Source organism: Homo sapiens, chromosome 3, assembly GCF_000001405.40.
Source record: "Homo sapiens chromosome 3, GRCh38.p14 Primary Assembly".
Taxonomy (NCBI): Eukaryota; Metazoa; Chordata; class Mammalia; order Primates; family Hominidae; genus Homo; species Homo sapiens.
Genome location: NC_000003.12, coordinates 50,420,031 through 50,447,820, shown reverse-complemented (window position 1 = coordinate 50,447,820; position 27,790 = coordinate 50,420,031). Strand labels below are relative to the sequence as shown.

Genomic DNA, 27,790 nt, shown 5'->3' with positions numbered 1-27,790 from the left:
TCCCCAGGCTCTGTGGTGACTGGGGCAGGGAGAGGCCTGGGGTGTGGAGTTCTGGGCAAGCAGGCAGGGAGGCTGCCAGCTCAGGGTGCAGGCAGGAAACCTGGAGGGGCTCATGTATGCTCAAAGACACTGGAGGAGCAGTGACTGAGCAGGACCAACTCAGGCCACTTGCCCCAGTCACGCCCTGCAGGCCCCAGGGGCGGACTGAGTGAGCCTCTGTTGAGGGGTCTCCTAGCAGGCCCAGTGGTATGGGAGGGACATGGGGCAGGGGGGAACCTAGCTCCCAGTTCTCTCCCTCCTAAGGAGGAAGTAGAGCTGCCTTACATAATCAGGGCAATTTGTTCCGCTCTTGTCCTCCTGGCGTCATTGCCCTCACCGCCTCCTTGCTCAGGGAGCCCTTGACAGAGCTAGAAGTGCAGGCCTCCCTCCTTCCTGCTGGAGGTTGCCGACAGACGATGTGGAAGCCCAGGGCACCATCGCCTCCAAGACCCCATGGGCACCTGACCACGAGAAGGGGGCGGTGGGGGAGACAAGGTCACACTGCATGTGGGGATCCAGGCCTCCAGCCTGTAGCCTCCAGACGACCTTACAGTTTCTCAGAATTCACACAGGCAGTGAGTTCCCGGTGAGGGTCGGGTTCAGAGCTGCCCCTGCCTGCTAGTGGATCCCCTCCCCCGGAAGCTCTCCTCACCAGCCTTCCTTCTTCTTCACCTTTGCATGCTGCTCCTCTGCCGGGAAGGTACACAATCTGTTTTGGCCCATCCAGCTACACCTTTCCCTGGAATGTCTTCTCTGACCTTCCTAGCACGGAAGAAGGTGAGAAGCTGGAGCCTGGGTCATCCTGGCTCTTTGCTGCTGCTTACCCTGCTGACTTGGGCCTCAGTTTATGCACCTGTAGCCTAGGGTCCTAGACTTCCAACCTTACAAACGAAGATGGTTTCCTACAAGTCGAAGCACCTCCTTGAAGTCTACCTACCCTCTGGGCCAGCTCAGAACTGTCCTTGGCTCTCCCTCCCCCTGCAATCCCTCTGGGCACAGGTTGGGCGAATGAGCCCTCGGGGTCTGGTAGACAGCACCAGGCAAATGAATTAGGGGCTTGTTATCCTGAAGGGACTGGCTTCCTGGGAGGGTTCACCCAACTGTCTGAGAAAAAGCTCTTGATGGATGTTCAAAACAGGATGGGGTTTGTGAACCCGAGACTCAGCTGACCCCGCTGACTTTCATAGCCCTGGTGCAGGTGGCCCAATGGACATGGCCAAGGGGGCAGTCAGAGTGGCTTCCCAAAGGAGGGGTCAGGGGCAGGGTTGGGCCTGAAGAGGAGTTACAGGATCCCACAGGCTGGAGACAGCTGCTGGGGAGATGGAGGCAGAGTCCGAAACAGGGTCTGTGTTCATGCATGTGGTAAGTCCATGTAGTCATTGAATTCCAGCTCTGCCAGTTACTCTCTGTGCCTCAGTTGCCTCATCTGTAAAATAAGGACATCTGTAAAATAAGGACAACTGGGGCTGGTGAGAATTTGATGAAATGGATGGCCGGTGTGGAGGCTCACTTTGGCCCCGCCAGTAATGGCAGCTAATCCCGTAATAATTGTCACCCAACCCCACAGCCCCCAAACCTGGCAACAAGGAGGTGGCACACCTGGAGTCAGGGCCCAGGCACAGCATGTGCCTCCCCTGAGCATAGCACACTTAACTTAGAAGTTCATGGCTGTTCAGGCTAAGGGCCCTCATGGTGTTTGCCAGTGTGGCCGGGCCATCAGTCCTGTTTGCACAGTTTGTTTGCATGGCAAACACTGTGCACGGATGCGGGAAGGTAAATGCTGGCCCCTGTTGCTGCTGGAGTTTTGCATACACCGAGAGAGAACCTGGAGCTGGAGGTGCCATGGATTGTCCCTCTTCCCCAAAAGTGAAATAAGGGGGAACTGAGGTACAGAAGGGCCAGAGCCTGCTCAGGAGCACCTCTATGGACTGGGTTCAGAGATCACTGACCCCAGCTCTAGGAAAGCTTTGGGTGGTAACCCCACCCCTGCATTTTTCAGGTCCAAAATGGGAGCTTTCTTGTGAGAGCCCAGGATAGGCTGTAAATGATGGGAGAAGCTGAGTTCCCTTGGGTCTGTGTCCCCAGAGTGCATGTGTTTTCAGAGCATGCATGTCCCTAATGTGCACCTGTCCTCAGCATATCTTCAGTCTATACACAGCCTTAGTGTCTTGGTCCTGTTTGTTTATTTATTTATGCTTCCGACTTGTTCTACAGAAGACTTAAGGGCACTTACAAGGATACATAAAATTCAAGGAGAGCCTAAAAATTGGAAGTAGGAGAAAAAGGAAAACTTAGAGGAGGGAGTAAGATGGCATCAGGAGGTGCTGACAGAGGAGGTAAATGAGATGGCCCAGGCATGGTGTGTCCCCTTGCACACTTGCTTGCACATTCACAGTGACTCTGGTGCCTACTGCCTTACCGGTGCCTTGTGGTCAGCTGCATCAAGAACTCAGAAGGGGGAGCCTAGCTGGGCTCTCCTGGGACCCTGGTTCAGAGTCCACTGTGGGTCAGGCCATGCCCTTGCCCCATCCAGGTCCGGCACCTATGCTGTTAGGAGCCCTTCCAATGGTGTGTTCAGCAGGATTTAGGGTCATGACCTTCAGGTAGCCCCAACCGTCCAAGCCAGCAAAGTTCCACTGCTTAAAACATCTCAGATGGCCACACACCACTTTTTGAGGTGTGAATGGACACCCACAGAGCCTCACGCAGGCCTGGGGCTGCCATATATCCAGTGACAGTGGACAGGCCCATCTAGGCTATGGTACCTTTTCTGTGAGCCTAAGTGTGAGACTTGAGCAAGATCTGCAAGGGGCTTCCTGAGTCCTAGGTGTGAATGTGGTGAGGTCAGTGTGTGTGACCTGGTATGCAAGGTCAAGTGCATGTGCCTGCTGCTGCATCTGTGCACTGGTACAGGGCAGGTCCCTGGGATCACCTTGCCCCAAAAGAGGCCCCTGATACCATGAGAGGACATGGGCTCATCTTCTGGGCTTACCTTCATCTCTCTACCCTTATCTCCCACACCTGCCATGCTAAGATCTCATGTTTTCACAAGAGCAGCCAGCCTGAGGGCCTCAGCAGCACCTCTTACTGTGATTGGGGCTGTCGTTGGTGCTGTCTTTATGTGGTGACATCTTTAGCAAGTCTCAGCAGCACAGGACAGAATTCCAGCCTGTGAGGCCGGGAAAGTTGGTCCCTGCAGGACAGAATGGATCAGGGAAGGTGCTCAGGGCCTTGGGAGCAACCCTGGAAGGCGGTCCCATGAAAAGCCACCAGCACCCCACACTTGAACTTCCATCTTTAAGGAATGCCAGGATGGCCTGGCTGAGGTAGCTCAGGGCTGTGCAGACTGTGAGGGTGAAGGCTCGAGCCAAACCACAAGGCTGCTTAAGGGCAGAGCAGGAATTCAGACCCATGGCTTTTGGCCATTCTTGGCTGTGGGTGCAAGAGACTGGGAAGTCTCCTCTTTGGACAGATTCTGACCCTCCCGGCGCCTCAGTATCCTCATCTGTAAGATGAAAAGCCAGCCAGCTGCTGACCACCTCCAGGGTGCCCTTGTTACAGTCATCTCCACCCCCAGGGCCTGACTGGTGGCTTTGGGGCAAGGTCAGTTTCTAGCCACTCTGGAGTCCTTGGGGGACCTGCCCAGCCCCTGAAGAAGGTTGCTCACCTGACCTATCAGGGTTGTGAGGGGTGGATGGAGGTGATACAGAGAAAGCAGATTTTGCCCTTTTCTTCCTGGCCTCAATTCCGTCTCATGAGGGTACTTATGGGGGTGAATTTCTGCCAGCTCTGGGCTATAAGGACTCTGGGCCACAATGACTGTTTCATCTCACATGAGAGCTCCATGACCCGTTGAAACCCACTGGAGCTGTGACATGATTGGGAGTCCCCCCTGGCCCACCAAGGGTCCACTGGAGCCTCTGCCCACCCTGGCTCCCAGAGCCCTTCACTCCCAGCCCACTGTCCCTGAGTCCTGAGAGGTGGGTAAAGGGGGCTTTACTTTAACCCATTTTACACATCCGAAGATGGGGGCACGAGGGTGAAGGGGTTGAAGAGGCCAGATGGCAAGGCAGCGGCCCAACTCTGGGTCTGTCTACTTGGGCTGTTGTAGGGCAGAGGGGGCCGTTTGTCCTGCTGCGGGGGTAGGGTCCTTGTCCAAGGCCAAGCTGGGCCAGGGCTGCACAAGGTGGTGAACGGACTGAAGGGCAGGCCGGGCTAGTCTGCGGGCCAGAGAACTGAGCGGCAGCGGGGGCCTGGAACTGATGGCTGGGGTCTGAGAAGCCCAGTGCCACAGGCACCTCCACTCACTGCCTGGTAGTCTGCAGCCAGTTTCTCTATTTCCCAGAGCTATCAAATGACAAGGACTCCATGGGTTATGCGCTGAGCCCTGTCTGGCCACACAGAGGACCTGTCATCACTATCCCCATCCTTCTGCAGTCAAGAGGCTGAGGAGTTCTGATGAAAGGAAGGCAGGGCCAACTGGATGGGGAGGCAGCGGGAGAGAGCAGAGCCAGGGTGGGTGGCAAGGGGGCCCAGACGCCGACACAAACAATCTGCTTCCCATAAACATGGGCGCCCACACCAGCCGGCCGCACCCGGCGACTTCTGTGAGTTGGGAAAGTGCGGGTATGTTTACTCGCACTCCCCCGTGCCAGCTGGTATGCTGGGCACAGCTTCCCTCCCAGCTGCCTCGACAGCCGGCGGCTCCCAACTCAGGGAGGGGGAGCAAACAGGGGCCCCTGGTTCTTGCCTGCGGTTTGGTTCACCTCAGGCTCAAATTCCCCACCCGATGCTATTCCAGGCCACATTGAGAGGATGGGGGCCCTGAGAGTCTCCATGGCTGGTGTCCATGTGGCTGTGCTGTGCCAGAATTGTCTCCCCTGCTCTCCAGCCCATCTGAGTAGACAAAGGCCTGGAGGCTGGAACTGTCCAGGGACGCTTGTCTTGAGTTCAGGCAACAGATGCCCCTCCAGTGGGGTCCATGCCCTCCTCCCTCTACCCCAGCTGCTTTCTCAGTAGTTGCTTCTCTCTGGGGTGTGGTCAGTGCTCCAGTATCTCAGCACACCCAGAACCAATGGATGACAATTGCAGGTGGGTGAGGTTGCAGGGAGCCAGTGCCCCATGGGCCCTGGGATATGTGGGTCTCCATGCCTCAGATTCTCTGCTCTGTGAATTCTGTGAATACCTTGTCTGAGTGCCACTCAGCAGTGGCACCTACATGAGGTCGTGCATCATCCCCAGGAGGCCAGGGCAGATTCTTGTCTGTGAAGGTGTCTCCGTGGTATTGCACCACCCACCCCAAGGCCTGGGTCAAGCATCTTAGATCAAGGAGTGGTGGGAGCTCAGAGGCAGGGGCTCAGGGAAGCTGCTTGGGGAAAGTGCTTCTTGGGCAGGCACTCAGCAGCCTACGCTAGAGCATTAACTTGTGACCTTGGAGATACATCGTGGATGGCTTTGGTCCTGCAGCATTTGTTTTGAGGTACACAGGAGTGTGCCTCATGCTGGCATAGGCAGGCGGGGACACTGGAGTGTGCCCCCTCTCCAGCCCCCTTGCCCAGGGCCATTTGGGATTGTCACTTCTGTAGTAGGGAGACCTCATTTGATTCTTTCTCACTCCAAACCTGTCCCCAAAGCATCCTCGTGACCACCAAGGGAGCCAGAATTTAGGGGAGATAAAGTCACAGACTGCAAGCTTCACATAGGCACACGGCCATAGGAATGCTGTTATCTAACGATGGCAGCCTGGAATCCAGCCACGGTGCTTGCTAATGATGGGTGAGTCCCTTCTCAGCATTCCTGACAGCTGGGCTGGAATAGTCCCTGTGGTGGGGGGCTCACTACTTATCCAGGTGTTGCTTTCAGGCTTTGGGAGTCCTGAGTGTGGGAAAGTTCCTCCCACTTCCGAGCTGGATTCTGCAACCCTGTTCACAGAAGCCATCAGGAACCTTGGAGAAAGGACCTCTCATTTTGGAGCTGGGTGGATACCATTTCCTTCTAGGACTGTTCTCCCCTGAGATACAGGCCTTAACACTGGAGGCCTCAAGTCAGGCCTGGTGTAAATGGATAATCAGGATTGCCACAGTTTTCAAGTCAGTTTGGAAATTCGCGTATGTTTCAGAGGAGCAAAGGGCTACACCCAGGAATGGGCCATGCCCAGTGTCTCTGGTGGGTGGTGCCTTGCCTGGGGGCACATTTAGGGCAGGCCTCACAGGCAGGCTCTGCACAGGGGCAAGCACAGGGAGGTTGGCACAGACTGGCCCTTGCTTGGCTGGGAGGATTTGGTTTATTGTTTTGTGTTGGGTTTTGTGTCTTTTGAAAAACAAGAGATTGAGCCTTTTTATGACATGGATTTTACAGCGTAACGAGGCAGCGTAATTTCCCATTCTCAGCAGCAAGTGCACTTTTTACACTAATTGCATAATTAGACATAATGTACTAATTGCGGTAATGGATGACAGTCAACTAAACTTTAACTTTAAAAACAGGGAGGCGTTGCTGGGGGTGGTGGTGGGGGCTTCAGGCCCCTGTGAGTTTTGTGAAGGTAATCTTGCTGGTGAAAGCTCCTAGAAGTTGCCTCTTGAGGACGAGGGACCACAGAGCCGCCAGGCCTTTCTCACCTTGTGGTCAGTCACATGTCCCTCCTTCCTGGAGGATCCCCCTGTCCCCACCACCTGGGTATCTGCTCCCCTTGCCCTCACACCCTGTCTCCCCAGCTTCTGTCCCCCAACAAGCCCCTCTGCAGCCACTGAGCAGTCCCTTATCCCCGCTTCTCCCAGCCTTTGCACCTGGCGCTACTGCTGCCAAGCGTCCCTCGTCCCTGTCCACCCACAAAAACCCCTGCCCAGCCTTTCAGACTGCTCAGATGTCCTCTCCCCTGGAAAGCCCTCCCCAGGCTTTTTCTTGCCCCCTACCACCCTGGAGCAGGCCAGCCCCACTCCCAAGTGTCTCCTGCACAGCTCTGTCTACTGCCACCTGTCTGGGCATCTGTCCCCTCTGGATAGAGAGTCCCAGGAGGGCAGGGACGAGGTCTGTTCCATCTCTGCTGTTCCAGGGGGATGTAAGGAGGTGGGGGTGGGGGAGGATAGTGCTATTAATGGGCCGCCCACCCAGGAGACCAGGCCAGGCACCCTCCTCTCTGCTCCCACACTGCTGTGTGACCTCCACTGTAGCCCGTGCAGGCTGATTGTAATGGCCTGGTTCTGTGTCTGTGATGCCCTCTAAAGAGAGCGTTCATCCCAGGCATTCTGTACTGGATATGAAGGGGAATTATTAATGGGACAACTAACATCACAGTGTACAAAACCTGTGTGTGACAGGACACCATATACAGCTGAGTGACCATGGGGCCACCCCGCCTGGGATGGTGGCAGTGTGGCATGGCCACTTAGGAACCTAACATGGCAGTTGGCAAAAATGTCAGCAGCTGATGAAGCATGTAACTGAGTGGCACGCAGCCCCCCTGCCTGGGCACCGATAGTGTGCCCTGAGGGCTCCAGGGGCCCCTTGCCCTACTGTAAGCCCTGTGCCAGGCTGGTGAGGGACAGGCCTTAGCCCCCTCCTGGGGAGCTGCCAGTCACACACCCAGTCTCGTGGCTGGTGTGTCCCCAGAGCAGCCAGATTAGGGTTTTTGTGCACCCATCATGGGGCAGCCCCTCAGTCCCATCAAGAACTAGGCTATAGGGAGAGCCCTGAGGGGTGCAGCCTGTCCTGGATCTGTCCCAAGTGCTGTCAGTGGTAGAGGGTCCCCAGGTGCCTGGTTACCCCATCAACTCTCCAGTCTTCAAGGTGGATTTGCAGTTATGTCAATACCCTCTATTTTCTCACTGAGGCAGAAGGCCAGGTTAGCAGCCTAGAAGGGGTGGGTGAGGCAGGGGGCCCGGACCTGGCTCTACCCTGACTGGCTAGGGTCCTTGAACTGGTCACTACCTGTCGCCAATCGCCCTACCTCATTGGCCCAGCTCAGGCTTCCTGAGCCACCACAAGCCCCCTAGCCACCCACCCAACATCCCTGACATGAGTGTAGCCCAGTCTGGCAGCTGACCCCGGCCTCCAACTGCAGACCCTGTGGCCTCTTGAGGTGGTTCCCTCCCCAGGGCTTGTTTATTTGGGTTGGGCCTCAGGAGGCCTCGCCCACAGTCTCTCATCCACTGGCTGCCCTCCCTGCAGGGGCCTAATGGACAGTTAAGACTTTCACCTGGCTGCTCCCTGTGGTGAAATGTGGTGAGGGGATTGGAGCGCCAGTCTCCCCGGAGTCATGCCTCGGGGCTCAGGCCAGGGGTGCTGGAGCACCTGGCAAAACCCCAAGGTGAGCTGGGTCTTTGAGGAGACAGCTGGCAGCAGGGCCAAGCCTGCGTCAAATCTTTCTTGTTCCATTTTCTTTCTGATTTAATTTTCCAGAGATTAGGGCTGTTCACCTTCGCTGCGGAGAGGAGCCTTGCGTGCGAGTGCCTGTTTTGACTCCCAGGGTTGGGTGGGTGCTTAGTCGATTGGGCTGGCCCTGCCAGTCTTCCCCTCATTCCCCTCCAGCATGGCCCTCCCACCTTCCAGGGGCCTCAGTCTTTCAGCCTCTGCCTGCATCCGCCCCAAGCCCTTCAGGCCTGCCCAGTTCATCCCTATGCCTCTTTTCCCATGGCTTTGCCTTCAAGTTTAGGGATAAAGGTGGGGTACAGAACTGTACAAAGAGTATGACCTAAAGCAAGGGCTTTGGATTCGACCCAGTTCAAACCGCAGTTTTGCATGCGCCTTAACCTCTCTGGCCTTCAGTGTCCTCTCTGCCACATGGAGATGATCAGAATGGACCCTCCTCAGGGGTTGTAGGAGATCAGTGATGTCATCTATGTAAACCACCTGCCCCAGAGCAGCCAGAGCTAACACTCGGGGCAAACAGGGCTGTTCCTGCAGCTTCCTTGGCCCTTCCTCCTTGCTTTTCCCCACTCTCCTTTCCCCTCTCCTCTCTCCTTTTCCTCTCCCCTTCCATCTTCCCCCTTGCCCTAGGCAGGTTTGCTGGTAGCTCAGGTCTGGGCTCCCTTGCTGCTGACTTTCTAAAATGCCTTCTGATTGGGGCCTGCCCAGGTCACTTGTCCTGAGGCCTTTAGTTTCCTGTGGTGGCTGTCTCTATGTTCCAGGCACGTTGGGGCTGGTAGTTGGACTCCTCTCTCCCAGGCAGCTCTGTTAGGAGCTGTGGGAACGAGGCTGGCTCCCTTTGCTCCTGCCAGCATGCAGGCTTCCTGTCCAAGGTCACCATTCCTGCAAGGGTCCTCCAGGCTCGCCTCCCACTTACACGGAGCCATGGGGGAAGCAGGAGGCTGGGCAGAGGGTTCGGGGCTTCTAAGGAGGCATCAGCCCCCACGGCCCTGTGAAGCCCTAGGATGGAGGGCTGGCCGGACTTGCCCTGATGCCTAACTGAAGAACTGCTAGAGCTGAGAGAGGGTTGAAGCTAGAGCCAGCCCTGGGGGAGGGGAGAGGTGGAGGGGCAGGTCTCCATCACTGGTGGGATAGGAGTGCCCTCAAGGGAGGAGGGCACCAGCTGAGCCATGGTCACCAGTACATGAAACAAGGGGGGGAACCAGGAATTCCTGGGAACAAGGGGCTCCAAACAGACTCCTGAATTGTCCCTTGGGACCTCAGCCACCCCTGTTCTCCCTGTTCCTCAGTCCTCCCCCACATCCCCACCTGGCTCCAGTCTGCTACCCTGTCCCACCAGCATCCTGGCACTCTCTGTGGGTTAAAGCTGCTGCCTCTCCCTCCCTATCACTGCTGGCACAGAGCTGGGGCACCCTGGGATCAGCTGGGCCCCGTCGTGCTCCTTAGTCCAGCAGAGGTGGGGCTGTGCCGGCTGTGCTGCTGTGGGAGCAGTTGGCTTTTTCTAATTAACTCTCTGGGCCAAGGACATCAGTGGGCATTGCCATCCTGCTGTGGTGGTTGAGGCTCTGCATCCGGTGCACCCTGGCCTTTCTGCACTTCCCAGCTGGCCCTAGGAGCCAGGGCTAGAGGCTGGGGCTGGAGTGGGGCTAGTCTTGGGCAGAGTCTGTGCACTGGAGTTGCCCTGGGCTCTCCTGGGCTCCTGCTGGGCCTGCAGGTGGAAAGCACCTCCCTGGACCACATCAATGTAGAGATGACCTTTCTCCCAGGATGGGACCATCTGCTGGGCTGTGTCACTTAGATCTCCTGGGGATTTGGGGCTCAGCTCAGGGCCCACCCTAGAAGACAGGAACAATTGGAGCAAGTTCAGGGGAATGTTGAGGGGGAGGGCTGTGGCACTAGGGGCTATCATTCGAGGACTGTTGCACCTCAAGGGCTCATTTGGGATTGGGGAGCAGGCTTGGCTGGCAGCATGACCAGCCCCTGCACTTCTGGGATTCTGCTCTCCTCTCAGCAGAAACCCCTTCCAGCCCATTTCCCTGGCCTTGCCCTAGAGAGGATTTAGATAGCAGGGCAAGGTGGAGGGGATGCAGGGACAGCGTGAGTCAAAGTATAGCTGTGGGAACTGGCCTGGGCTGGAGACCCAGAGGCCTGCAGGCACATGACAGGTCAGTGGGCTTGATGGGACCCAGACCAGGGTCGGCAGAAAGATGCTGTGGTGGGTCCTCGAGTAGAAATAGAACAGGAAGAAAACACGGTGGATGCATCCCTGGGCCCCGAGGGCTCATGCAGCCGCAGGCAGAAGTTGAGGAATCAGACCTGGGCCCAGCTGGCCCCAGAGCTCTGCTTTTGGACATAGAATCCAGCATATGCATTTGCCAGGTGTCCACTGCACACAGACATGGTGCTTGGGAGAGAGAGAAGGAAGCTGGCCATGGCTGTGCCCTATCAGTGGCGTCCCAGTGTCTAGGCTCCACCATTATCACCTCTGGGGCTGAGGCTAAGGTGTCGGAGACAAGGACAGGGTGGCTCAGTGTGGGAGACTGCCCAGACCGATCTGGGAGAACAGGGTGGGGCTGGAGGTGGGCAGACCCCAGGAAACTGAGGCTACCAGCTCAGGAATGGAGCCGATGGCTTTGGACAGCCCCAAGTGTACAGATCTAGCAGGGAGAGAGTGGGGGCAGGGAGGGACTATGATTCCATCTGCAGAATTCTGGTGATCCCAAACTAATAGCCGTAACAACAGCACAGGCTGCTCAAGGCATGGGTTTGCTGTCCCCAGCCTGTGAGGTGGGTACTACTGTTCTCTCATTTAATAGATCAGTCACGGAGGTTCAGAGATGAGTGACTTTTGGCAGAGTCTCAGCTTCCAAGGCCTCATGTCACCTGTTGGTGCCCTGAGGTGTGGGCCTGCCACCTAGAGACCCACTCACTCTGCAGCCCCCTGATCCCCAGCACAGTTACCATGCCAGGCTGCAAGGGGCACCCTGGAGCCCAAGAGGAGGGACTCCTGGACTTTCCCAGGAGAACCACATGGTCCTGCCTCAGGTCCTGGGGCTGTACACAGCCATGGACAGCCCAGACTGTGGCTGCACCTGGTAATGACCTTGACAGAGTCTGAGGTATGAACTTCATCCCAGGCCAGGAGAAGCCGGGCAGCAGTGCCCCCTGCTGGTGCAAATGGGTCGGGGCACCACTCTCCAGAGGCATCGGTGGATGTGGCTGAGACCATGGCCACACACCCCAGAATGATCTGTCAAGGATGGGTGAAAGCTGATGGGGGATCTGGCTTTGCCACTCAATCGCCTGGCCTTGACCTTCCCTCTCCTGTTTCTGTGCCTCAGTTTCCCCAATAGTAAGGTGCTAGGCTCTAGGTTCCCTGCCTTTCCTCAGTGATCCTCAGGGTCTGACCCCTCCTCACCCTGTGTCTCTAACACTGTCTCCCTCTGTGAACGTCTGTCCTGAGGCAGGGCCCAGGGGCCCAGGGAACATCCTGGCCTGGCACTCACTCGGGGCCTCTCTTCTCCCTGGCCATGTGGCCAGGCCTCAAGTCTCGCCCCCTTATTGCCACTACTCTGCGGGAAGGAGCGACTTCACCACAAATTATTTTGTTCTAAAAGAAGGACAAAAAGAAAAGAGAAGCCGGGAGGGATGGGGGTGGCGGGAGGAGGAGAAGATTGCCTGAGCTGGCTTTGTGTGGTGCTTTAACCCCTGGACTGCCAGGCACTGGGTAGCAGCAGAGCAGGGGCTCCAGCAGCACCCAACCCCCCCACCCCATCCCCCTGTCAGATGACAGGGTCTTATCTCCCTGCCTTCTCGCTGTCACTCTACCGACCTTATCTCTCTCTGCTTGTCTGTCTTTCATCGGCTGCCTCTCCCCCCTCCTTATCTCCCCTCATCACCTCCTCTCTGTCTCTCCACATCCCTCCACTTCTGCTCAGCCTGGTGGCACGGCTCAGTCGTGGCAGCCTATTCTGTGACCTCTGGTGGTGAAGGAGCCTGTACTTGGGGCACAGACCTCCTTGGGTCACCTGAATGAACACATGGACCCAGTCAGGCTTGGAGACACATGCAGCAGTATGTGATGCATACAAATGCACACACACACGCACACGCACACGCACACACCCAAGACCCAGCTGTGAACAAAGACACTTGCAGAAATCTGCTCCTAAGACTCACAAGCCCCTGGGGGGTTAGAGACCCTCACCCCACCCCAGCCCCAACACGCAGGCACGTGCACACAAACGGATATGTTGAGCCCTCACACACACACACACACACACCCTCAGATTTACACTGCCACATGCACCTGCCCACAGACCCACCCCCCTTGGAGGAAGGCTGGGCAGATTCATTCTCCCCAACCTGCCCCTTCCTCCCTGGTGCCCATTCCCCATATTCTGTGCCCTGAATGACAGAGGAGCCCGTGGGATTGCCCAGAGCTCCTGCTAGTTCCTGCAAGTGCCCTGGGGCAGCACCCACAAAAAAGGGTCCAGATGCCTGAGCAGCGTGGAGGCATGGCTGTGTGTGTGCCCATGCATGGGCGTGAGCATCTTCTTTTTGGGATGGGGTATGTGGTGTGTGCTTATTGACTCCATCTCGCCTCAACCTCCTGCCTCCTCTCCAGCCCACTCTTCCCCTCTGCTATTCACAGTTACCTTGAGCTAGTCGGGGGCAGGGCTGCTCATGACCCTGAAATGGGGGGCCCTGAGGCCCAGAGAAGGCAGTGACAACCCCATCCCACCAACCACAATGACCAGCCTAAACTGGGCCCTCATCCCAGATGCAAGCTACGGAGCCCCTGGCCTTGCCCTGCCTTCAAGTCTGTGGGGGCGCTGGCCTTCCATGCCCTCTCTCAGAGGCCAAAGACAGGGTCTGGGTGCGGGTGAATACTGTGCTGAGGTGAGCTGTGCAGAGGGGTATGCAGGGCCCATGGCATGAGGACGTGGGACCACCTGGTCTCACCCCTGGCTTCTGCTTCCTTCCAGATTTACAAGGACAACCGGAACCTGTTCGAGGTACAGGAGAATGAGCCTCAGAAGTTGGTGGAGAAGGTGGCAGGGGACATTGAGAGCCTTCTGGACAGGAAGGTGCAGGCCCTGAAGGTAGGTGTGTGTTTTGGGGGCAGGGGGGCGGCACTGAGGGAGGGCCAGGTGGAGAGGTCCTGTACCATGAGGGCAGTGTCCTGAGCCTTCATCACGTGGCCCTCCTGAGTTCAGCTGGGCCAACATCAGCAGGGCTGTGCCCACGTGGAATGTGGGCAGCTGCGGCAGGAACAGGATGATACTATCTGGAGTAGCTGCATGAGAGGTGGTGACTTGGAGTCTTGGGGCTCTGTGTGATCCTGAGGCTGGGACTGGGGCAGGCCCTACCCCTCCCTCCTTCCGGGCCTGGGGTTTTCCCATCCCTCTGGGTCCCCAGGTTTGTTTATGGGTGGTGCCCTGGATGGGCACCTGGCCAGGATAGTGACCTGCTGCTGGTGGAGTTTGCCCCTGAGGTAGGCTGCAGGCTCTCTTGGAGGGAGTGTCGAGGGGGCTCTGCAAGCCCCACAGAGAAGGCCACGTAAGGATGGGGGCTGCTCTGCCCATGGCTTTGAATGTTTCTCTGCTCCCCCATCTGGGCCTCTATATTCAGAGAGGTTGTGCCTGTCAGCCTCAGACCACTATAGTTCTGAGGGGTAACAGGAATGCGCTGGGCTGCCATGACAAAGCAGGCAGACCCCTGACACTCAGCCCATCCCAGGGAGAGTAGGTGGGATGGGGCTTCTCAGCTGCCAAGTGACCAGGGAAGGTCATACGTAAATGAGTGAGAGGCATCCAAGCTCCCCCCAGATCAGAGGCATAACTGCAGTTGCTCCAGCCTGTGTCAAAGACAAACTAATCCAATAAAAAGGAGCAAAGCTGGGCATGGTGATGCACACCTGTAGTCTCAGCTACTCAGGAGGCTGAGGCTTGAGCCCAGGATTTCAAATTCGAGGCTGCAGTGGGCCATGATCATGCCACTGCACTCCAGCCTGGGCAATAGAGTAAAAACCTCATCTCTTTAAAAAAAAAACAAACAACAAAAAAAACGGAATAAAGTCTCCTGATGCTTGCTTGCTACAACATGGATGAACCCAAAAACATTATGCTAAGTGAAAGAAGTCAGTTACAAAAGACCACATATTGTGTGATCCCATTTCTATGAAATGTCCAGAATAGGCAAATCCATAGAAATGGAAAGTAGATGCATGGGTGCCTGGGAAGGGAAGGGATAGGGAAGGCCTGCTAATGGGTACAGGGTTTCTTTTTCGGAGTGATGAAAATATTCCAAAATTAGATTGTGGTGATGGTTGCACAACTCTGAATATACTAAAAACCACTGAATTGTATACTTTATTTGGGTGGATTTGCTGGTGTATAAATTGTATCTCAATAAAGCAGTTTTTTTAAATGAGCAAGTCTACACAGGCTGTGCCCAGGCTCAGGCCAGGGTCCTGGCTGGGTTAAGTCAGGGTGGCCACCCCAGCCTACACCCTGCCATATCCAGTCCCCAAGAGAGAACCAGAATTTCCTTCTCCAGGAGCTGGGCCCTGCTGTCCCCCATGGGATCCCCTGCCTGTCCCTATGTGACCTGGGGCCATGAAATAGGTGGAGACTGCTTCTTGGGGCCAGCTTCCCAGAGAAGGTGGACTCTGAGGACCTCCCACCCAGAGGACCCAGAGCAGGGCTCCACCCACCCTTCAGGATCTCCTGGACATGAGTGTGGGAGACAGCGGGGAGCAGGCAGAGCCACGCCTTCTGCAGGGATAGCAGCCCATTACGCTCGCCTCTCTCAGCCAGTGCATCGCGCCCCACCTTCTCACCTTTCTGAACTGGGCGTGCCTGGATGCCCTTCTCCTGCCTTTCCCTTGTTCTCCGACCCTGTCTCCACCCCACTTCCTTCCAGACCCCTCATTTGCACACTACTTCCTAGCTTTGCTGCCCCCTGTCCAGTTTACAAATGTGGGCACCCAGCCCTGAACTTGTGTTGGAACTGTCTGATAAATGCGGGAAGGGACAGCCCTCAGGCCTTTCGGCCTGCCACTCAGCCAGGCCGGCACAGCAGGGGTGCTGAGTGGTGGCAGAGACAAGACGCCTGACCCACCCTCCATGCGTGGAGCCCAGGGCCCAGCCTCCTGCCCAGCCCCTTGGGAATCACAGGGCTGGGGTCTCTTTCCAAGCCACTTCCCCCACCCCTAAAGGAACAATCAACTCCGATAGCTTGGGAGGAGCAGCCAAAGGCCTGAGGTCCTGGTCCCAACCCTCTCCCTGCACCCCCCTTGCTGGACTCTGCTATGTGAGGGAGACAGATGTCTCTCCCTTCCACTGCACCTGCAGCCCAGCCATGGCCTGGGACAGTCGGCACTAAACAGAAATTATTTTCTTTTCTTTCTTTGTTTTTTTTTTTTTTTTTTTTGAGACAGACACTCTGTCACCCAGGCTGGAGTATAGTGGTGCAGTATTGGCTCAGTGCAACCTCCATCTCCTGAGTTCAAGTGATTCTTGTGGTTTAGCCTCCCAAGTAGCTGGGATTACAGGCGCCCACCACCATGCCCAGCTAATTTATGTATTTTTAGTAGAGACAGCATTTCACTATGTTGGCTAGGCTGGTCTCAAACTCCTGACCTCAGGTAATCCACCCACCTTGGCCTCCCAAAGTGCTGGGATTACAGGCCTGAGCCACCGCATCTGGCCCAGAAATTATTTTTTATGAGAAATGATGGGGAAAGGCATGTACTGACCAGACAGATACTCACCGTGTGCTGAGTCTATCATGCATCATTCTCACAGCAACCCGGAGAAGGAAGCCCTGGCTACCTTGGCTTCACAGAGGGGGACACTGGGACTCAGAGGTGCCATGCATCAGGCCAGGATATGGCAGAGCCAAGATTTGAACTCAGGTCTCCCTGACTCTGAGCCAGCCCCTTGACTCCCCCACATTATTCCTGAGGCGTGCACTGAGCCCATAGCTCATGGCCTCCCAGCGCTCCTGGGCAGTGAACTCCTCCTGCTGCAGCACCCCTGGCTGTAGACACACGAGATGCTTCTGCCCATATCCCCAGAGGAGGGGGAGGATCACCCTTCCCCCTGCTTGGTCCTAATTGTTGAAGATGAGCTTTGGTTTTAATTATGTTTTAAATGTGCTTTTAATCAAGTCCTGGTCCCTTTCTCCTTTTTCACATTTGTTTGCAGTCTGAGTGTATATGGAGGGAGGGCTGTTGGGGGACTGGACCCCCACCCCCCACTACATTGTTCCTCTCTCCCTGGACCCCATCCAGTAATCCAATTTAAATCCTTTGCTCTGGGCTGGAATTCTAATTGGGGGCTTGCAAAGAGGGAGCTGAGCAACACAGGACGGAAGTTCATTGTCTCATCTAATCAGGGACAATCAGATGTTTGTAACGAGTTTCTCCAAGCTGCAAAGGGTGGTTGCTGGGGCCAAGAGTCAGGAGGGAGCAGGCCAGATCAGGGGCCTTGCAATGCAAGCAACCAGCATCCCCAAGTCTGGGAAACAGGCCGGGCCCTCAGCTTCAGAGACATGGAGGGGTACCTGTCTTGGAACTTTGACTACCTAGGGAGATGGGGGCCTCTGAACTAAGGCCCACTCTCTCAGAGTCTTGAGTCCTGGGAGGAATAGGGAGGTGCCTAAGTTCTTATAGCAGACTTGGACCCAAATCAGGACTCTCCTGCCCTCCCAGCTGGGTCCTAGTCTACAGCCTGGCTCTCAGGAAGACCACCCCCTCATCATTACATTCCTCCTCCATCTGTTCACCAACATCCGCCAATGGCTACTGTTTACCATGCCCTGTTCAGGGCTGGGGGTGCAGTGATGAAGGACAGGCCCGGTTTCTGCCCTTGTGGAACTCTCAGTCCAGTGCTGTCCCAGGCCTTAGTTTCTCCCCCTATGAAATAAGGACATGAGCACCCTCCCTGCCCAGCACTTCTGGTTTCACAACTCCAGGGGCGTCAACTTGTAAAGACCACAGTGTGAACAATCTCTTGAAGGTTGTGCCCCTGCAGCACCATCCTGTGCTGTGTGGCTCAGAGGAGAGGCCATGGGGGAAGGGAAGGTACTGCCCAGGATTAGGTGAGGGGTGACCCCAGTGGGAGAGATTCCAGCCTCCTCTCAGAGACACAGCCAGGGGTATCGAGGCTCAGCGGGCTTGGTTCCTAGAGAAAGGGAAGCCCAGGGCTAGGACAGCAAGGCCAGAGCAGGTTCCAGAAGGACATCAACATGGTGGCTAGAAACCTGCTTTCCGGGAGGCCCTTTTGCCTCCTTCCTCAAACAAACCAGAGGTGGTGGGAGGCCCCGCTAGGAATCTAGCACCTGGAGACACCAGCCCCAGGCTTAAGCCCAGCACCCCTCCTAACATGCCTGTGCCCCTCAGGTCCCTCCCATTGTCCTAAGGGTCAGACCTTTGCCTTAGTGCAGCATTTCTGAACCCTGGTTGCACATTGGAATTGTCTAAGGAGCTTCTAAAATTATGGCACCCAGCTTCTGCTTCAGATCAAGCGCATCAGATTCTCGGGGGGTCAGCAGGGGTGGAGGGGCGGGGCATCAGGATGTTTTAACGTGCCACAGATGATTCTGTGTAGATTCAGAGTTCAGGGATTTTTTTTTTTTTTCGAGACGGAGTCTCACTCTGTCGCCCAGCCTGGAGTGCAGTGGCATGATCTCGGCTTACTGTAAGCTCCGCCTCCCGGGTTCACGCCATTGTTCCGCCTCAGCCTCCCGAGTAGCTGGGACTACAGGTGCCTGCCACCACGCCTGGCTAATTTTTTTTTTTTTTTTTTTTTTTTTTTTGTATTTTTAGTAGAGATGGGGTTTCACCATGTTAGGATGGTCTCGATCTCCTGACCTCGTGATCCGCCCGTCTCGGCCTCCCAAAGTGCTGGGATTACTGGCGTGAGCCACCGCGCCCGGCCAGAGTTCAGGATTTTTCCCAGAAAATGGTCGAAATCTTTACTTCCCAGGATTACTGGCCTCTGAGTGCCCACCAAGTGCCGGACCTGAAATAAGCCTGCATGCTCTGTATTGCTCTGAATCCTCACACAGGTCGCTGGGTTACTCTCCTCTCTCTATTTTACGTTTTGAGGAAACTGAGCTTCAGAGAGCTTAAGCCACTTGCTCCAGGTCTCACAGCAAAACCAGGGTTTATTTATTTAGGAGACAGAGTCTTGCTCTGTCACCCAGGCTGGAGCGCAGTGGTGGGATTTCAGCTCACTGCAACCTCTGCCTCCGAAGTTCAAGCAATTCTCATGCCTCAGCCTCCCAGGTAGCCGGGATTACAGGTGTGTGTCACCATGCCTGGCTATTTTTTTGTGTTTTAGTAGAGCTGGGGTTTCGCTATGTTGCGCAGGCTGGTCTCGAACTCCTGGGCTCAGGCAACCTGCGCGCCTCGGCCTCCCAAAGTGCTAGGATTACAGGTGTGAGCCACGGCACCTGGCCAAAACCAGGGTTTAAATCCAGATAGTTGGGCTCCAGACCCCACAAATGGCTCCCCAGCCACTGCCCTCCTCTGTGCTACCATTAGTGGCCATGTGGTGTTTGCTGTCCAGAGTGGGACAGGGTCAAGGGAATAGGAGATGGGACACTGGTTTCCTCTGACAGGGGCTTGCTCTCTGATGACCTAGTGACCTTGGGCAAGTCCCTGCCCCCTCAGTTTCTTCCTTGGGCAGTGAAGACAAGACACTGAGCACCCCTCCCACACCCCCATGAGGCTCAGATGGATGGGAGGGGGCGGCATGCAGTTCTGGCCTTGGTTCTAGGGGCTCCAGTGGGCATTGTTCCCACCATTGGTGGCCTCTCTGGGGAATGAGCATCATTTAAAGAGTAAAATTAAAAACCCTTCTGCACACAGCCGCCCTGCTTTTGCTGCTAATGGCCACTTAACCCAATTAAAGTGATGCATTGTTGGCAGTGTGACCGGGTCTGTTCAGGAACTGGGCTCTGGGCTGGGCATTCAGAGGGGCAGGAGGTGTGAGCCAGGGAGGGAGTCAGGGACTGTGGGGCAGCAGACCGCTCCCTTTGTCAGGAAGGAGACCATCCTACCCAGCTCCCACCTCCTTTCTAAAGCCTTATCTAAAGCAGGGCGTCAGCCTCGGCACTGCTGACATCTTGAGCTGCATCCTGCTTTGCGGTGGGGCTGCCTTGTGCACTGTGGGATGTTCAGCAGCACCCTTGCCCTCTACCCACTAGATGCCAGCAGTACACCACTCTCCCAGTTGTCATGACCAAAAATATTTCTAAATACCGCCAAATGTTGCCTGGGGGCAAAGTTGCCCCAGTTGAGAACCACTGGCCTAACGGGACAGAGATGCAGCCATGAGAGCCACAGCAGGGAGATACTGGGGGCCTCGGAGAGGTGCAGGCAGAAGGGCCAGCAGGAGAAAGATCCCTTCAGTCCAAAGAGGTCACAGGAAGGCTGCCTGGAGGAGGCAGCAAGATGTTGGGGAAAGTTTGGCACTGAGGCAGCTGGAGGCCAGTTCAGCTGAGTCCACGGGTGCATTCACTGACGAGGGTGAGACAAACAGGTTGGCCCCTGGAGGACCAGGCCATGGATGTCGCCTACTGCCAAGGCCTGGCCTGGAACAGAACACGAGTTCTGCAAACTGGTGAACATTTGTAGAACAGTTGCCAGCGCTGTGGCTCTGGGTTGTGGCTGGGGCTCAGCCTCTGGGATCTGACTCCACACTAGGGAAGCTCTAAAAGGTGCAGTAATGGTAGATGGACAGGCAGGAAATCCTGTGGCATTGGCTGCCTCCTCCCACCCTTCTCTGGGCAATTAAAAGGTGTTTATGTGGGGCTGGCGATGGCTTCTGCCTCCCCTCCATTATGAACATTAAGAGATCTTGACCCTTCCACTCTCCTGCTCTGGAAAGGAGCCGCAGACACGTGGAGCCAATTAGGCGCACGCGTGGGCGCCAAGCGCCCAAGCAGCCTTTTCTCCCTGATTGCGGCGTTTACAGCTGATTATTCTCCCCTCACCCAAACAGTGCCGCTGCTTCCTGGCAAGTTGCCGCCCACAGGAGCCAGCTGGGGGTCCCCAGGGATGGGGGAAGCATTGGGGATTGGGAATCTGTTGGACACCCATTGTGTGGGCACCCTTGGGGCCCTCCGCCTACAGAGGGAGGCAGCCAAAGAGCTGGCTGGCAAGGAGATAAGGAAGGGACTTGGTGGTGAACGCTAGGAGAAACCAGGGAGCATGCGGTGGCAGAGCGACCACCAAGGAATGGGAGTCAGAGAGGGCTCCTTGGACGAGGTGGCCTGGATGTCTGCGGAAGGGACGGTAAACCCAAGTGTCCCTGGGGTCAGCGTGAGCCTTGGGCAAAGACGCTACCCCCAACAGCTGGACATGAGTGTGGGGACGGCCTCCCCTGCCTGCATCTCTGTCTGGCAGTCGAGAATCCTGAGACCCCTTGAAGGCCTCCAGCTGGGAGCTGGTCTCCCTGGGAAGGTCAAGGGAGACAGTGCAGGTGGGACATGGCTGGGACATGGCCAAGGGTCCTCAAGAGAAATAGTCATTCTCTTGTCTTCAGCCACCCGCCTGAGCTAGTGGTGGTCAGACAAGGGCCTGGCCCAGCCTGCCAGGCCTTGGGAAAGGTTGACTTGTGGATTTGGGGCTAAGCTTCTCTGGCCCCTGAAACTGCTCCGTGGAGCAGGCCCTTCTCCTGGGACCTCCTCCAAGATGCAGGGACCTCAGGAGGGGTCAGAAGCGCTGTGATCATTCCTGACTAGCACCTACTAGTCAAAATAAGGGTCTAGGGGGCTGGTGTGCAACACTCCTGAGGCCCACAGAGCCTGATGGGTCAGCCCCACCACCTGTACCCAGCCACCGAATTCTCCCTAGTGGCTGAAGTTCAGAGGAAGGGATTGACTGCAGGCATGTGTCGGGCCTGGAAGCTCAACACCTTGGGTGTCCTGACTGGTGTCACCCCACCTCCTGTGGGGACACCTTGGCTGAGCTGCCCCAGGCCCAGCTCTCACTGCAAGAGCCTGTCCCACCCTACGGCCTTGCTTTTGATGCCAGGTGCCTCCCCTGGGAGTGCCATGCAGCCTCCCTGGCTTTCACTTGCTCACTCAGTCATTCAGCAAACCTCTGCTGCCCCAGCCTGGCCCTAGGCCTTGTGTGATTCCAGTCTCTACTTGCTGTGGGGCAGAATGCCCGTTTTACAGATGAGAAAACAGAGTCGGAGACTAGATGTCAACCCTGGTCACTGCCTGGGTGAGGCAACGTCACAGTTCCCCTTGCTTACCCTGGCTCCTGAGCCTGTGTACCTGCCCTCCCAGAGCTCCCAGGGATTGGGAGGAAGTAGAGTGGTGCTGACTGGGGCAAAGGGGAAGGCCAGGGGAGGAAGGGAAGGTGAGAAAGCCGGGTGGAGGGCAGAGCATGAGCAAGGGCCTAGAGGCAGGACCTCGACTGGGGGTTGCTGGGGAGCAGCTGGAGAGGATGGCCAGTCCCACTCAGAGAAGGCTCCAAGTGCAGGCTGGGAGCTGTTGCCCCGAGTTTCCTTTTTAATACCCTTGCACCTCACCACCAGAGGAGAGGAATCCAGGACAGGGAGATGAGAGTCCGTTGAATGGAGAAAATGAACCCCAGGGAGGGAGATGTATGTGTCTCCACTCCCCAGAGAAGGCCTGCGTAGAGGGAGGATCCCCTGATGGTGCCCACTTCTCCGGGGGTCCCAGGTGGCGAAGGGAGCAGATGCAAAGAGGTGGAGGGAAAGGGCCTGCAGGTGCCACAGGGACAAACCAGCCTAATTTAGGATCAGAGAAGTAAGAATTTTAATTGAGTTTTAATAGTGTCTGGCCCTTCGTTCTGAAATCCTGGTGTGCGAGGCTGGGGGAGGGTAGGTGCATGTGAGGAAGGGCGAGCCGGTGGCCAGGATGATCCCTGCCCTCGGGCCCAGACTTCAAGGAGATGGGGAACAGGCTGTGGGGTCCCAATGTGCAGAGCAGCTAACATGGGACAGGCAAGTCTAAGAAGACAGCCTGGAGGAGGTAGCATTTGAGCTGAGCCTTGGAAGGCAGGTGGAATTTCCAAAGATAGAAGAAAGGAAGAAGGAAGGCATCTTAGTAGAGTTCCCAGCCTGGGCACTGGCTTAGCAGTGAGAGTGAGCAGAACTGACTCAGGCTGAATCTGCTGAGATGGGAGTACTGGGGGCTGGGAGGGGAACCTGGAAGGTTTGGCCTGGGCATCAGTTTCCACTGCAGGGGAGAGGGTGTGTGGGGGTGACAGAGGCAGGGCACAGGGTTCTACGCCTGAGTTCTGGGGTGGTAGCTGCATATCCACAAGCTTGGCCCTGTGGAAGCATGGCCCTGGGAGCGGCCAGTCACTTCTCTGGCCCCACTTTCTGTGCCTTAAAATACATAGCGAGCGATGCCTCTCTGTGGCAGTGGGTACCTGTGGGAGGTACCTTGGCTTACAGGGGTGCTGCTGGGGAAGGCCAGTGCCACAGACCCAGGTAGGGGGATAGGGTGGCAAGAAGGCCCTCGGGACCCTCCTAGACCCTCAGCTGTCTTCCCCAAGCTAACCCCTGAGGTTTCACTGGCTCCAGGTGCCATGGTGACCCGGGCAGGGGCACCTGAGGTTTTCCTGGAAGAGACTCCACCTTGACCCTGGCTCCTCCTGTCCTGGGATACTGGGTGCCTCAGGTTCCGTTGCTTCAGCTTCTGTTTACTGAGCACTGGCCCTTGCTGTGTGCTGGCATCGTAGTAGGTTACCAGGTACGGGGACAGCACGAATAGACCTGCTAGGCCCCTCCCTTGAGGAGTGCAGTCTGCTGAAGATGGCAGTGATGCATACCACAAAGGGTGGAGCCATGGGGCAAGCCCATGGGGATACTTGACCAGGCCTAGGGGACCTGGGAGGAGGGAGGATTTAGCTAGGCAAGGGAGAATAAGGGAGCAAGAAGGCCCAAGGTCCTGAGGTGGAGAGCGCGTGCGTGTGTGTTGGGGTGCATGCATGCAGTGGCAGAGGGTCTTGCCCACTGGCAGGCTCCACAGAGCACATGTGCAGATGCAGTGTGAGGCCAGTCTCCCTGGGGTACACGGGGCTCCCTGGGGTCTAGCCGAGACCCCATCCAGGGACCACATCCCACACAGTCCAGACCTTGCACTGCCCCAAAAAAGAACCTGTGGCCAAGGGTCCCTCTTAGGCAGGTGCAGCATGGCACGGGGTGCCCATGACCAGAACCAGAGCATAGAAGGTAGCCAAGAAGCAAAGCCCTCACACACCCTGTGCTGCATCCCCCACTCACACTTGAGCAGCACTGAGCCCTTGGCAAACCTCACACTCTGTGAGCCTCAGTTTCCCTACCAGTACAGTTGGAACAGGTATGGCCGCACAGATCTGTCATCAGAGTTTATGCCCAGGCTTTGGTGACACCAGTCCAGGGAGGGATGCTTCTGGGGGTATTGCGTGGGGCAGGCCCCGCAGACAGATGGATCTGTCCTCCTTTAGCTCCGCCCCGTGTGTAGAACAATCCTGGGCTGCAGGGCCTCCTGCCAGCCTTCCCCTCTTTGGGGGCCTTGTCAAGGGCCCTGTCCCCACCTCCCATCTCTGAGGGCCAAAGTATCCAGCTGCTCGAAGCTTCCTGCCTCCTGGCACAGGCCTGGGGGCCCTTGTTTGAGAGGCTGGGCACGGTTGTCGGGCCCTTTGTTGCAGCCTCCTGTGTTTGCCCACTCTGTGCCTTGACAAATGGGAGTTGCAGCATGTTTGCTGTGTCAACACCAGCTGGAGCCCAGTTACGGAGATCAGCTAGGGCAAGACGCCCCATCCTTCAGCCTCCCAGATGCCTAGGGTCCAGCCCCTCCCTGGACAGGGTTGGTGGACAAGTGGGCAGCTCTCCATTCTTGATTCACATATTCATCCCACAGGACTGCCAAGTGCAGGCTGGGCAGGCATCTGAAACCAGCAGGGGCAGCCCTAGGCAATGGGGTGGGACTTAGAAAAGGTCAGCAGGGCAGGCAGTCTCTACCTGGCACAGCAGCCATGAAGTCTTTGAAGATTCAGTGTGGGGCTTCCCAGCCTTCTATTCAAGATCCCTCTGAGCAGCCCTTGCTGCTCTCTCCTCCCCTGTGTCCCCAGTCATCAGGTCTGGCAGCCTCCGAGGAGAGGAGCCTTAGGTGGTCAAGCAAATGGACAGAAGAACAGACAGATAGCCAGTGAGGCAGGGTCAGGGCAGGGGATGGGACTGCCGGGATGGGGCTTGAGGAGACCAGGAACCAGGCAAGCTGAGATCCATCCATGAGCTGCGTAGGCATAGGCCAGGGGTCAGGGAGCCACAGCCCTGGGGAGGGCAGAAATGAGCAGCTTTGGTTGGTGACTGGCACTGAGGGGCAGCTGTCAGAGACAGATGGGGGAACAGGGGACCAGAAAGGGGAAGCAGCTTACCCTGGGTCTGGGGGGAACCTGGGTTCTTTCACTTCAGCCAACGCTGCTCCACCACTTAGGGACCAGGTCTGTTGGCCGCGTAGCAGAGCTGGGCCAACTAAATCCTGTTTACTTCTGAAATAAGACCCCCCACCCACTTCATAAGTAGGTTTTCCAGAAATGAGTCTGTGAGGGTGACTCGGCTTCCAGGGCAGCATGGATCAGGCAACTGGATGAAGAGGGAGAAGCGCCAGGCGAGATTGCAGCTACAGCACTGACCCATCAGCCTTGTGGCCTTTGCCAGTGATTTCCTTTTTCTCCCCAGTTTCCCCATCTGTAGATGGGCAGTAAGAGTCCACCTGGTAGGACTGCCAGTGGGGTCTTCTGAGGGGAAGTGTGGTCAGCATGCAGATCGCCTGTGCCGTGTGGCTATCGCTATTGAAAGAAGGGGTCTCACATTTTTCTGAGCTTGCATCTTGGATCCTTTGCTCCAGGAGGGGGCTTGGCAGGGAAGATCCCTGTCACTTGACTCCACTTTGAGATTCTGTGAAAAAGTGTCCTAGTTACCTGGAAGCACAGGGAAGGGGCATTGAGGCTGAGGCTAGAGGGAAGGAGGGAGTTTGCACCTCAGAGCAGGGAGGAGCATTCTGACAAAGGGAACAGCCTGTGGCAACCTGGGGGAGTGGAGTGGAAGATCTGGCAGAATCCAGGGCGGCCTCCAGCTTCCACTGTGTGGGGAGCCAGGTTCCAAGTTCTGAACTGGGGTGGGCAGTTAGACTCCAGTCCACAGGAAGTGGGGTGGTCAGGGTGGAGGCCTTTGTAGTTGTCAGGGGAGGGGTCAGAGGCCTGAAGCCAGAGCTAGGGCTGCAGGGATGTCGGGGTTGACTCAGGATAAGGTGAGGCAGCCAGGGAGGGATGGTCCGTGACAGCTCCTGGTGCTAAAGAGGATGGAGGGTAGAAGCAGTGCCTTTGGGTCAGGGGATCTCTGGCGGGAGCAGACTGCAGGGTGAGAAGGCAGAACCCCCAGGAACCAACGTGGATGGTCAGGAAGCAGGCAGTGCCTCCTGCCTGCCTCTCGTATTCCTTCCTCAGATGTCTGCCGACACCTCCCCAGGAGGCAGCCAGTGAACTGGTGGGGTGCATCAGTGAGCAGTTCCCAGTCACTTGGGGTCAGAGGGCATGGCCTTTCCCCTGGACTCACTCACATCCTGGGGTCCTGGTGCAAGTGTAGCATCATGTTCCTGGCCAGAGTTCTGAGGGGCTTGAAGCTTTTCTGAGTTTGCACCTTGGACCCTTGGCTCCAGGTGCTGGAGGCCTCGTGGCCCTGCTGGGGGATAGTTTTTAGAATGATGGGCTTCAGAGTCCCAGATCATCTTCCTGTGTCCCTGTAGTACCAAGGGCTGAAGAGTTGGGGAGCAGGGCACCATGGGGTGGGAGGAGTGCCCTGGGCTGATGCATCCCCACCACGAGTCAGGTGAGAGAGTTGGGAAGACCCTGTCCCCAGGCCCAGCAGGTTAGTAGTAAACATTTAAAGAGAGAAAATGGACCCATCTGTGCTTCATCTATGGACAGCAGTGACACCCCAGCCTTGTGACTGTGGCCTGGGTGAGGGGGGCAACTGCACCAGTTGCACCAGAAGCACCAGTCCCCACAATCTCCTCAGGGTGACCCTGACCTTTCCCTGCCACCCATTTGCATACCTGGGCTCCCTTTTATCAAATATTCTTCTGCTAATCCCATCTCCCTGCGTGACTGCCCTGTAATTAGCTCACTTTGCAAAATATGATGTCTGTCATAGTTCCCCCTCCACGTTTTTCTTTTCCCAGGAAAGGGTAAGGAGGGAATGGGATGAAGAAAGATTTCTGGATGTGGGGCCACCTCACAGGTGAGCTCTGGCCCCCTCCCCAGCACACAGGGCCCCTCAACACATGCCCCAGCTCAGCTCCAGAGCCTGGAGAGCCAATGGAGGTCAGTGAGCAGGGCCTGAGGGTGTCAGAGACCTCCCAGAACCCAGGGGAAGGGATGGCACAGGCCTGACTGAGCCCTGCCCCAGGAGTGCCCATGTACCCTATTCACACCTGGGAACTGCCCAGGCCCAGGCTGGGCTAAGACTAATGAGATACTAAGTGGCCTTTCCCACTCACAGCCTGGCACATGAGGGCATGTGTGTGACAGGCAGGCTGGGGGCAAGGAGGAAGGGGTGAGGGGGCCAGGACGCCAGCATTGCCTCTACTCAGCACATATAGCCACACATGGATGGGCTGTGCCAGTTGCCAGGCATGCAGCAAACACAGCTGACAGGAACCCCAGTGATCGTCGCCATCATCTGTCCGTCCACCTACCTGTCAGACAACTTCCCATAGCTGGTGGGCTGCCTGGAGCCCCCACACCCTCCCACTCTCCACCCTGACCAAGGTTTGGTTCATCTCTCAGGAAGGGGCTGCCAGGGGCTGTGGACTATGCACAGGGTATGTATACAGCCCCGCAGTGGGTCATATGTGGCCCAAGCCTTGGCCCTGACCAAGCATCACAACTCCAGCCAGGCCACCAGGCAGAGGGAGCAGCACAGCAGTTTAAGCTGTTTTCAAGTCAGTATTTGGTGCTACCCTAGCCACAGCACCACTGCTGAGCCCCCACCACTCCCCACATGGAAAACCAGAGGCTGCTGAGGCCCCATCTGCACAGAGGGCCCCGTGCAGCTCAGAGCCTGCCACATTGATGGACCCCAGCCGGGCAGGGGCAGCTGGGAGGACCATGCATGGAGCCTTCAGCTGGCATGGCCTACTTTTCTGCTCTCCCCCTTGCTGCCCCATCAGCTCCCCTCCTTCTCTTACTGCGACTCCCTCGGGATGTCAGGACGTGAATTCTCTTTAACTTTTAATTAAAAATCTTCTCCTTTCTCCCCACAAGGTTCACTTCACTGTGATTTTCCTCTTAGAAGGAGAGGTGGAGGGAAGAGAGACGGCAGGCAAGGAGCAGAGGCCAGGCCTT

The 27,790-nt window shown here is 56.6% G+C and overlaps 1 protein-coding gene across 6 annotated transcripts in view, besides 4 other annotated features; it reads left to right on the top strand.

Moving 5' to 3' along the window:
* The window catches only part of CACNA2D2 (calcium voltage-gated channel auxiliary subunit alpha2delta 2), a 141,632-nt gene that overhangs the window by 56,424 nt on the left and 57,418 nt on the right, over positions 1–27,790 (top strand). For all 6 annotated transcript variants that reach the window (NM_001291101.1, NM_006030.4, NM_001005505.3 and 3 more), the window contains exon 3: positions 13,392–13,508. In NM_001291101.1, the coding sequence (NP_001278030.1) occupies positions 13,392–13,508 (117 nt within the window). The remainder of the gene's footprint in view (positions 1–13,391; positions 13,509–27,790) is intronic.
* Positions 370–871: an enhancer, noted in NCBI's record as "H3K4me1 hESC enhancer chr3:50484381-50484882 (GRCh37/hg19 assembly coordinates)". NCBI's record gives its function as "activates a minimal SCP1, AML or CMV promoter by ChIP-STARR-seq in primed H9 embryonic stem cells {active_cell/tissue: H9 hESC(primed)}" and the evidence as "EXISTENCE:reporter gene assay evidence [ECO:0000049][PMID:30033119]".
* Positions 14,679–15,259: an enhancer, noted in NCBI's record as "H3K4me1 hESC enhancer chr3:50469993-50470573 (GRCh37/hg19 assembly coordinates)". NCBI's record gives its function as "activates a minimal SCP1, AML or CMV promoter by ChIP-STARR-seq in primed H9 embryonic stem cells {active_cell/tissue: H9 hESC(primed)}" and the evidence as "EXISTENCE:reporter gene assay evidence [ECO:0000049][PMID:30033119]".
* Positions 15,260–15,840: an enhancer, noted in NCBI's record as "H3K4me1 hESC enhancer chr3:50469412-50469992 (GRCh37/hg19 assembly coordinates)". NCBI's record gives its function as "activates a minimal SCP1, AML or CMV promoter by ChIP-STARR-seq in primed H9 embryonic stem cells {active_cell/tissue: H9 hESC(primed)}" and the evidence as "EXISTENCE:reporter gene assay evidence [ECO:0000049][PMID:30033119]".
* Positions 23,355–23,899: an enhancer, noted in NCBI's record as "H3K4me1 hESC enhancer chr3:50461353-50461897 (GRCh37/hg19 assembly coordinates)". NCBI's record gives its function as "activates a minimal SCP1, AML or CMV promoter by ChIP-STARR-seq in naive H9 embryonic stem cells {active_cell/tissue: H9 hESC(naive)}" and the evidence as "EXISTENCE:reporter gene assay evidence [ECO:0000049][PMID:30033119]".